The following is an 11579-nucleotide window of genomic DNA, read 5'->3' as shown; positions in this document are numbered from 1 at the left end:
AATAATGATGGCATAGCAGGCACTCAATATATATTAAGGGGCAAATGCAGCTCAGCTTGAACTTTCACTGGGCTGAAGTTGCTTAGTGTCAATTTTTCTGCTTAGAATCAACTCATAAGAGAGAGAAAAGAAAAAAAAACCCTGCAGAGGCATTTTTGCCTAAGAATGTGGATAAAAAGACATGCTGCACTGTCTTTCATCCATCTACTTGTGCAGCCTGCCCTACAAGTCCACTTAAACCCTGTCCATTTTGCCTTTGCTTGAACAATGTAAAATGTCTTTTTCTTTTTCTTCCCTTGTGCAAATGACTAAGGCAATTGTTTGTTGTTGGCAGGTACTGCGGTATGACCGCATGTTTAAGAGTCCTAAAACCCTATGTAAGAAGTCAGTCCCTAACTGAACCCATACCCAAATCAACAGGCTCATTCCTGCGGCAGCACCATGGTGCCACCAAGTGGACAGCTTTTGAACAATTAAACTCACTGTGAACTGGCAAATCATTTTGGAACTGGAGCATTTATGGCCCACTCACTTAAGTAAGTGAGTTGTAGATTTTATACTCTTTAATCTTATACCTTGTATGTTTGATGAATTCTAACAATTGCTTCACATGTGCTTCTTGAAATTTTATTCTCTTTAACTCCTATTTGTGATTTAAGAAAATTCTTAATGAAAACATTTATGATGTACAATAACATGGGCACTTACCTTTCCTTTCACTATATTTTGAGAGAAAACAAGTTCTCCATTTTATCTGGGTCAGTTTTTAAAAGATTAATTATATTTCCTAGGGAAGTCTACTTAAAGGGGAAGAATGCTTGCTTCTATGATATATATGTTGGCTATGTGCTGTTTTATTGTTTGACACTTTCTGCAGTTAATCTTACATCTTGCTGTTCAGAACATCAAACAAATGGTGCTGGTGCAATTGAACATCCATCTACAGAAAATAAACCCAACTGTTACCTTGAACCATAAACAAAAATTAACTTGAAAAGGATCTGATTGTCACAAACACTTTAAGCCCCAGCTGACTGCCCACTTTGAGAAAATCCTTGAAGAAGCAAAGGCAGTTCTAGCACACTTTACTCTCTTTTACTTACCTGAAGCTAAAAGTATCTCACCTACATTTTCCTCAGTGGAGACCCCATATGATGAATTTTCTTTTTTAAAAAATAAAAAGGTATTTGTTTATTTCAATATTAAATATTTCTTTCTCTTTTTTTTTCCCCTGAGACAGAGTTTTGCTCTTGTTGCCCAAGCTGGAGTGCAACAGCATGATCTTGGCTCACTGCAGCCTCTGCCTCCCAGGTTCAAGTGATTCTCTTGCCTCGGCCTCCCAAGTTGCTGGAATTACAGGTGCATGCCACCACACCTGGCTAATTTTTTTTTTTTTTTTTGTATTTTTAGTAGAGACGGGGTTTCACCATGTTGGTCAGGCTGGTCTCAAACTCCTGACCTCAAGTGATCCACCTGCCTTGGCCTCCCAAAGTGCTGGGATTACAGGCATGAGCCACCGTAACTGGCCACTTATTAAATATTTCTAAAAGTCTATCTTGGCTCTATATAACTTAGGGAAGTATATAGTTTTATCTTATATGGGAGGATTAAAAAGAATTTAATTTATATCCCATAAAACATTCATAAAATGTAGGCAAGTGCATTGGACTAGCAGCCGTGAGATACAAAGTCTACTCTCAGGGATGGATGTTTCTTTCTTTCTCTTTCTTTTTCTTTCTTTTCTTTTCTTTTCTATTCTTTCTCTTTCTTTCTCTCTTTCTTTCTTTCTCTCTCTCTCTTTCTTTCTTTCTTCTCTTTCTCTCTCTCCCTACCTCCCTCCCTCCCTCCCTTCCTTTCTTCCCTCCCTCCTTCTTTCCTTCTTTTCTTTTCTTTTCTCTCCCTCTTTTTTTTTTTTTTTTTTTTTTTTTTTTTGAGACGAAGTCTCCCTGTGTCGCCCAGGCTGGAGTGCAGTGGTGCGATCTCAGCTCACTGCAAGCTCCGCCTCCCAGGTTCACACCATTCCCCTGCCTCAGCCTCCCGAGTAGCTGGGACTACAGGCGCCCGCCAGCACGCCCAGCTAATTTTTTTGTATTTTTTAGTAGAGACGGAGTTTCACCGTGTGTTAGCCAGGATGGTCTTGATCTCCTGATCTCATGATCTGCCCGCCTCGGCCTCCAAAAGTGCTGGGATTACAGGCGTGAGCCACGGCGCCCGGCCTCCTTTTCTTTTTTCTTTGCTTTTTTTTTTTCTTTTCTTTGCTTTGCTTTGCTTTTGATAGAGGTCTTGCTGTGTTGCCTAGGCTGGTCTCCTGGGCTCAAGCAATCCTCTCGCCTCAGCCTCCCTCCCACCTCAGCCTCCCGAGTAGCTGGGATTACAGGTGCACCCAGCTCCAGGGCTGTTTCAAATCACTAGTGTGGCCACATATAAGACACTTAAGACTCTCTCTTAGTTTCCACTTTTGTAAAATGAGGTAGTTAATGCCCCCCTCTAAAAAAATTTGTGTATTCCTAAGAGCATTTGTTCTGCTGTTAATAAGGAGGCCGGGCAGGATCTTTTAAATTCTTTCCTTGTCTCCTGTTTGTTTTTCATGACTGTGCATATTTGCAAGTTATTATACTTACAAAATGAACTCTTTACTTAAAAGCTGTTATTCTTGACACCTGAAACTAATTTTAATGGACACTTGTGGAACATTTCTCAGAGCTATATATTTCTTTCACATTTTCTAAATGCATATTACAACAAATGTATTTCTATATTTTTGCCAAATTTCAAATATGTTTAAATAATAGCTTCAGAACCATATATCCGAAATGTACTATTTAAAAATACCTACACTATTTTCCATAAAAGGAAAGGCACAGATTGACCTCAGTGCATTGCATCTTGACCCACCATGCCAGGGTGAATGCCACCACACATAAGATCTGCAGGTATAAAAGAGGCATGAAGATGTAGTGAGCATGCATTGGACAAGCAATAAGAAGCCTTGGATTTCATTCAGCCTGAATCTACTACATCTAAGCGCCTGAGCTTGTGGAAAATCACTTGATGGGTTTGAGCCTCTGTTTCCTTATGTGTAAAATGGTGATAATAAATCCTACCTAATACATTTGGTTGTTCTAAGGGTCAAATGAAATAAGGTTCAAGGAAGTGTGCTGAAACTCTGAAGGGCAACTGTGATGGAAATCTTTTGTTTAGTAGGAGGAAATTAAAAAGGATTAGGAAGGTGGGGGAATACCATAATCAAGGGTGATTTAGAACCATTAGCAAAAAGTAATTGTGTTCTCTTGTAGAATTGTCAGAGCCATGAGCTCTTCCTCATCCCTTTCTCCTTGTTATGTGAATGATGGGAGCAGACACGACCTTCTGTCCATGATCCATTTAGTTCAGATAATAGGAAAGGATGTTGCAGTCTAAGGATCAACAGAACAATAGAAGAACAAGGGGGAGAAAGAGGGCAGAAGAGGAGGGGGACAGAAATCAACATTACATTATCATGGTGGCGAGTCAGACATGGTGGCAACCACTGTGTGTACTGTTTTTTTTTTTTTCATGCAGAGATGGCTTTTGGATTCCCAGTGGTAGGAAGAGAAGCTTAAATGGATGAATACAAAATAATTATTAAAAAATGAAATAGAGAATTATTAGGAATTTTCTCTTTTAAAAAAGAGGAGGTCTGTAGTCTTTAAAAATGTCAGCATCATAAAAGACGAAGAAAGGCTGTGGAAGTGTTCTAGATAAAAGGAGACTATAAAATACATAACAAATAAATACTTGATCTAGGCTGAGATCTGTACTGGAGGAGAAAAAAAATGCTATAAAGGACATTACTATCTCAATTGACAAGATTGGAATATGGATGGCAAATTAGATAAAAGTACTGTATCAATGCCAAATTTACTAAAGTTGAAAATTGTACTATAGTTATAAATATAGTAAGCAAATACTCCTATTGTTAGGAAACACACTGAATTATTTAGGAATGATGGGCCATGATGATGTAACTAATCTTTAAACTGTTCAGGAATAAAAATATTGAGAGAGAGGGAGAGAGAAAGCAAAAGGGTGAGAAAATGGGGTGAAAATGGGGTAAAAAATGGGCATAAAAATGTTATAATAACATTTAACATCTATATGGCTCTTAGTCATTTATGAAGTACTTTGACATACTTTGTTTTCTTTAATCCTCATTAAGAAAGCCCCATTTTACCAATAAGGAAACTGACAATCAGAGATTTCTTGTGAGACTTTGGCTAAATCATGTTTGTATCTTCATTGCCTCTCTTGGTGAATGCATGAAGGAAGGAAGGCAGGGATGATGAATTGACTTGTCCCAATTCACAGACCTAGAGTTGCAAAGATAGGACTGAGAACTACAGTTCGATACCTTTTTACTACTTTGCAGCTGTTAAGTACTACACAACACACTCAAATCTTTGCAGCTGTTAAATACCACACAACACATCCAAATCATAGATCAGGATTAGCCATTATTTAGTTACTCTTTGGTGATTCACAAGTCATATAATCTTACAGTGCCTTAAGCTTTAACTTTTTGTAGGCCAGTTATCACCCTGTAGCTAAGGGAAATGCCAGTTGAAAAAACGTTAAATTCTGGAAGAGTGAGACTTATCTTGCAGTAAACCTCAATACATTGCTTTTGCAGGAGATGCTATTTAATCCAACAAGGTAAAATTATTTTATACAGACATTTTGCCTAAGCATAGGAATGAAAAAGATGTTATCAAGGTATCTATACTGCTTATTTTGGTGGTAAACCTTACCCCCAGTATGAAATATTGTGTACTGTTATGTTGAGCACTTCAAATCTTTTTTTATTTTTTATTCTCAGCATTTGAATGAAAATCCTAGATAGCTAAAGGATTTTTTTCTCACAGGTGAAGAAGAAGCACATTATCAGCAGCAGAAATGGTTTCTGGGAATTTATTATCAGTCATCTTTGTTTTAATCAGTGCCAAGTATTTTTTGACATTTGCTGAACTTGGTTTCCTTTTAAAGTGCAAGAAGTTGTCATAATTAAAAGCAATGGCAGCACATAAATGAAGAAAAATGGAAGTATTCAAAATGAGAATGGAATCCTAGGCTGCAGGTGCTGGGAAAGACTGCCTAGTCTAAGCACACATACCTGGGTGATGAAGAAAATCAGGTATCAGTGACAGCTGTGAGAATATGTCATGACTCAGTCTACATTCATGGGTGAGTCTTTAGTCAACCTGTTGACCCGCCTTTTTTAAATTGAGTAATGAATCCACTTCTGGATACTCATGTGGAGATGTGTTACAGTTGGGAGATGACAGAAATGTCATCGTGGAAAAATAGCTGGGCATTTGACAAGGCTTGAAATGTGATTATACCAACTGACTGCTGCTTGGTAATCAAACTTCAAATGAGCAGTACTTTGGGGCAAACAGACATGGCTCATGACTCCCCAGTCTGCATTCAGCTCTCCATCCCTCCTCTGATATATTGTATTGCTCTGCTCACCAGGAAATTAAAAATCAGAGGCCAGTTGATTCTTCTTACTTTTTTTTGAGACAGGGGTCTTGCTATGTTGCCCAGGCTGGTCTTCAACTCCTGGGCTCAAGCCTCTACCTTCTGAGTAGCTGGGATTACAAATGCCCACTAGTGTGCCCAGAGCAAGAGAATTCTTAATGCTTAGCCAAAAGCAAATGTTTTAAGCAGTATTTTTATATACATTCCTATTTGAGTAATTAATAGCAAGATAATCTTCTCTGGCAAGTTATCCATCCTTCATGAGTATTCCGCTTGTAATTAGAAGCTTGTGCCGATGTGAGCAGACAAGCCTATAGGGCTCATTTTCAGGAGAGAAAATTTATTCCTTAATTCAGTATACCTTATTCAGTGTATTTTTATTGTTCGGTAAACATAGTACCTACCGCATGCCATGGATTAAAGATTCAAAGTGAATAAACTGACTCCCTGCTTTTTATAATTGGAAGGACAGATAATTAAACATGATTACATATGGACACAAAACATTATATACACTAAGATAGGATAGAGTGGGCACATGTTTCTATGGGAGAATTTTTGATAGGCACCTAACCTACCCTTTAATAGTCACTTGACCCCTTTGCAGATGAGGGAAAGGTCTGGGGGAGAAGACAGTTAAGCAGAGCATTTAAGCGCACATATAAGCCAGAAAAGGGGAACAGAAGAGAAGAGAAAAATCTAAGCAGAAGGGCTAAAATGTGCAAAGGTCAGGAGGCAAAACAAAGAGCATGGTAGATTTTTGGAACTGCAAGAAATTGGTACAGCTGGAGCTAAGGAAGGGCCAGATCATGAAGGTCTTCAAATGCTGTTCCAAGAAGTTTGGATTTTACTCTAATGGTTCTAAGGCAACGCTGAAGGGTTTTTAACAGGAAGGAGAATGGTTGAATGCACGGAGAAGGCATTGGCATGTGGGTGAGCCTGGAGGCATGGATTCTAGTTGGGAAGCTATTGTGACAATGCCAGCTGAGGAAGCAAAGTGCCTGAAGGACTACAATTCACATCCCCAATGTGACAGCCTTCCTACAGCTGTGTGCTGTGAATTGAAAGTTTGTGAGGAAAGAAGAGGTGAGGATAGAGGAATTTTGAGCTCTTCTGTGCTCTTTGCCCTTTTAAGTGTTGTTAAATCATGGCATCTTCATTTTTAGAGACTCATGCACTCAGAATAGTGTGGTCTGAATACTGTAACTTGATAGAAGAAAAAAACTCATGTTACTCAACACTGAAATAGAGTAATGACACTTGAGTACCTAACAGCCAGATCCAACATGTTAGGGATATTAACAGAGTTGTCAAATTTCACCAGTTCTTACTAATACACTCTTTTGTGTTTATCGTATGACTTGTTCATGAAATACTTACAAATAAATTCATCCATAGGTTAGAGATTAAAATTTTTCCTTCATGAATTCTTAGTTTTAGAGTGAAGAAGACTGTATCTTGTTCACCCAGTGCCTCAGACAGGAACTAGCATATAGTAAGTGCTTAATAGGAGGTTGAAAGTCAAGAATTAAAAACATGCTCCCTGAAATTAATTTTCTGGGACTTTTAATAATTCTCATAAAAATTATAAGGAATTTAACATCAAACAAATATTAACTGGATATAAAATAAGCAAACGCCATATTCATTTGGTATAAATGTAGCTTCAGTTTTATTTGTATGACTTGCAAAAACTCAGTGGGAAATGTGTGGGTGCACCTGAGTGAAGAATTTGGTATTTTGAAACTTAGAACTATTTGAAATGAAAAAAATTGAGTGGTTAAAATAATAGATGGGATGAACTAGGGGTTTAAGGGTGACTCATAATTTTCTTCTCAAGGCTGTGACTCCAGAAAACCCAAGTTCTAGCTTCCTCTAATGCCTACAGAGATGATTCTAGATCAAGGACTGGAGAGCTTTTGAATAAAAGAATTGGGAAAGCCTATGTGTATACATATACCTAACCATCAATTGTGTCCAAATCTTCAGACACAATTATAATATTTATATAATATATACTTATAATTTGTAATTATAAAAACCTCTTAGATTTAAGAAAAATCATATACTTAAAAAATGTTAGTATTGCATTTTCCTGGTCATCTTGAGTGATGCTCTTGAAACATGAAACCTTTATTTTTTCTTTCTTTCTTTCTTTTTTTTTTTGGAGACAGAGTCTCGCTCTGTCGCCCAGGCTGGAGTGCAGTGGCACGATCTCGGCTCACTGCAAGCTCCGCCTCCCAGGTTCACGCCATTCTCCTGCCTCAGCCTCCCGAGTAGCTGGGACTACAGGTGCCCGCCACCACGCCGGGCTAATTTTTTGTATTTTTAGTAGAGACGGGGTTTCACTGTGTGTTAGCCAGGATGGTCTCGATCTCCTGACCTCGTGATCCGCCCGCCTTGGCCTCCTAAAGTGCTGGGATTACAGGCATGAGCCACCGCACCTGGCCAAAACCTTTATTTTTTCAATAGAAGAACAATAGTGCAGCATTTTATATATCTGTGCTCTTATATAACAGTACAGGCATGAAACTCTATTACACTAAACAAATTATGTACTGAATGCATGCTACCATTTTCTTTAAAATGTTCTTTGTATTTTAGGCATAACAGCGCTGCATACAGGAATAATATTTTCATGGAGACTCCTTACTAGATATTTAATAAAGGTCAGTCGCTACCAGTGATGTTCGTAACACCTTGCCCCGAGAAAATTTGCCTTTGAGTATATTATTCTAGATGCCTTTTTTTCTTACTGATATAGGATGTAATTTTATTTAGTTTTAAATTTAAGTTATATGCATCCAAGGAGCTTTTCCATTTTTCTTTGCTACTGCCTATACGATGCCTTAGTTTATTTAACAAGAGTTCCAAGTGGGGAACATGGAGAATTTTAGTGTAAGTGGAAATACTGGGACTTGCATTTTCCTGTTGGTGGCAGCACTTCCCTTGCTTTCTGTGTCCAGGACAGGAAGAGTTTGAATTGAAAGTAATCAGATCAAATTGAGCATTCAGGAAGGGGATATTTGAGTACAGAATGTCTTGAATCAATTAGGTGAATAATAATGAAACGATTATGTATGTACAGTAAAGCAACTTCATTTTTAAAAAACAAATTCACAAAAACAAATTGATTTAGAGATGATATATTTACAGGACAAAAAAAAGGCAAAATCTTTCAGCTAGTGAGCTTTTCTATTGAATTTAAAGTTTGATACTGGCATTAAAATTTTTTAATTTTATCAGTTCATTATGTCCTATTTTCTTTCAAGGAATGGAAGATGTTAACAGTAAGAGAAGTTTGTAGACACACCACAGTAAAGTACACTAATTTTGTATGATATAGAATGCTTTGCATTTGACAGCTTTTTGCAGTTCTATAGGCCTATTACTATGCCTCATCTCATTTTCATCTTCTATCAACTATGTGTAATATCCCCAGCACAAGAAACAAAAGGTTATAAAGGTACAGCAAACTCAAGGTCACAACCTGGTGTAGAACCCAGGACTTGTATCATCTAATCCAGCATCACTTCCACAAACCTTCATTCTTAGGAGGTTTTTTGTTTTTATTTTTTAGTGGAGGCATATGTCTATTATAAATTGTTTTGGACACCTGGCTGTATTAAAATATTGTTGCAGAATATTGAGAAATGTCTTTTACATTTGGAAATAATAGACATTTTTTGTATCACATTTAAAAATATTCCTTTCATTTAAAAATGTTTCAGTAAATTTACTATACCCACATATAAATTTAGGATAGATGCTAATCTTCTTAATAAGTTAATGAATATGTGACTGATATTTTACCCTACATTCTGAAATAATAATTTGACATTACTTTTCTTTATCAAGAAAACTATTCACTCATCAGTTTACATCATGCCCTGATTTCATTTGAGGAAATATTTTAAATGTGCCTTTGATCCAATGATTTAAAGAAATATACATAAAACATAAGCCGAATAAGTAGAAAATTATGTGTAACATCACCACCTTGATTTAATAAGAAGGGCAGAATCTAATTTTATTCTGTCCAGAGAAAAAAAAGGATGGAGATGTGCAGAAGCATTGGGCATCCAGGTGATGCGTACCCAATATCAGTCTGTTAAACTGAGTAATTTTTAAAACTACATTTAATCAGTACATAGCTGGTGCTCCATAGTACTGACTGGTTAATTAACTGACTTTGGTAACTTATTGATCTGACTGGCTTTTTCCTTATCTGTTTTCCTATTTGCTGCCTAGTGGCTCCATCTCTTGTCAATTCGTGTCCAGCTTCAGGCAAGGCTTTTCCCTTAAAACTGATTTTCTTGCTGTTCTTTGGTTTAGCTTTGGAAATGTTCTGAAAAGGGCATTGTTTTTGAGCAGGAGTGATGGCAAATGGTGACTGGACTTCCTGTTAAGTGGCTCCTCTGAGTATGGGAGGGATACAACTGCTGTCAATATAGAAAGACACCTGATTTTGTAGAGATGATTTGCTCCATTTGTCACCTAGTGGTGGCTGAACAGAAGTTCTTTTTTCATGTTTTGTTTTGAACAAAAAAGTTCTTAGCCCAAAGGAAAGTGTGAAATAACTGGTGCGGCTCCGTGGCTCTTACTCTCCTGTATGGCCCAGCTCTGGGATCCTCTGAGCTTGTCAAGTCCCTCCACCTTTCCAGCTTCCCCATATCTCTCAGCAATCTGTTTAGCCTAAGCTACTCTGAAGTGGCGTCCCATTTTCTAAAACCATTCTCCATGCCCCACCCCTCCAAGAGAAACATTTTAATTTCAATAGGGACTTTGCCAGCTGGTTCTTAAAAGAGCAGCAATTAAGCCAATTCACACCAATATGTGTAGTAATCGTTATAATAATATTTACATTTTAGAAGAATACACTTTTAAACAAAGAAATTAATTTATAATGACAGAAGTTCATATAGGTAAAGATAGGTTTGAGCCAAGAGTGTACCAGATACTTATTAAGTGGAAATTTATTCTCATTCTTATTAAATCTAGATATTTTGAAGAATAAGAATTTATTTGGATGAAAGCTGGCAATTTGCTTATTAACTGGTGCCATGCTTGGTCAAATTCTGCTTGCATCTGACTGCCCTGTAAATGGCTAAGCTGCCATGTAGTTTAGTCAAGGACAAGCTCAGTAATTTAGTTGAGGACAATCTCACTGCAACCTCTGCCTCCTGGGTTCAAGCAATTCTCCTGCCTCAGCCTCCCGAGTAGCTGGGATTACAGGTACCCACCACCACACCCAGCTAATTTTCATATTTTTAGTACAGACGGGGTTTCACCATGTTGGCCAGGCTGGTCTCAAACTCCTGACCTCAGGTGATACAACCTTCCTTCTCAGATATGAATGAAAGGGTTACTAATGTTGTAAAATTTGCACCAAAGGGATACTAAAGGCAATTTCTGTCTTTAGCTGGCTATGCGGCTTTGGAAGGCAAGGTATATAACCTTTCTAAACCACAGCTTTCATATCAACTTCATGTGGCCCATGTGTATTATTCCTGGATAGGGAATATCATTAATATTCCCACATTTGTATGTAAACTTAAAACAATTATCAGAATTTCATTGCTGTTATTTATTTACTTTATTTATTTATTTTTTGACGTAGTTTTGCTCTTGTGACTCAGGCTGGAGTGCAATGGTGTAATCTTGGCTCACTGCAACCTCTGACTCCTGGGTTCAAGCAGTTCTCCTGCCTCAGCCTCCCGAGTAGCTGGGATTACAGGCACCCACCACCACACCCAGCTAATTTTTGTATTTTTAGTAGAGACGGGGTTTCACCATGTTAGCCAGTTTGGTCTAGAACTCCTGACCTCGGGTGATCCACACACCTCGGCCTCCCAGAGTGCTGGGATTATAGGTGTGAGTCACTGCGGCCGACCATTGTTGTTGTTTTTAACTTATCAAAATAAAGCTAATGTGAAAGACTAAGCATAGAAATACTGTCAAGAAAACTGTGAAAGAAAACAAATAGTAAAGGGGAGCTTACCATACAGATTTTATTAAGTTGGTGCAAAAGTAACTGCAGGTTTTGCAATTACTGGTGTACA

The 11579-nt window shown here is 37.8% G+C and overlaps 1 annotated feature.

Moving 5' to 3' along the window:
- Positions 336-385: an enhancer, noted in NCBI's record as "active region_6225". NCBI's record gives its function as "activates an Ori minimal core promoter by ATAC-STARR-seq in GM12878 lymphoblastoid cells {active_cell/tissue: GM12878}" and the evidence as "EXISTENCE:reporter gene assay evidence [ECO:0000049][PMID:35858748]".

The sequence above is a fragment of the Homo sapiens genome, chromosome 12 (assembly GCF_000001405.40).
Source record: "Homo sapiens chromosome 12, GRCh38.p14 Primary Assembly".
Classification (NCBI taxonomy): Eukaryota; Metazoa; Chordata; class Mammalia; order Primates; family Hominidae; genus Homo; species Homo sapiens.
Note: the sequence above shows the minus strand (reverse complement) of the source record. Positions and strands in the feature narration are given on the sequence as shown.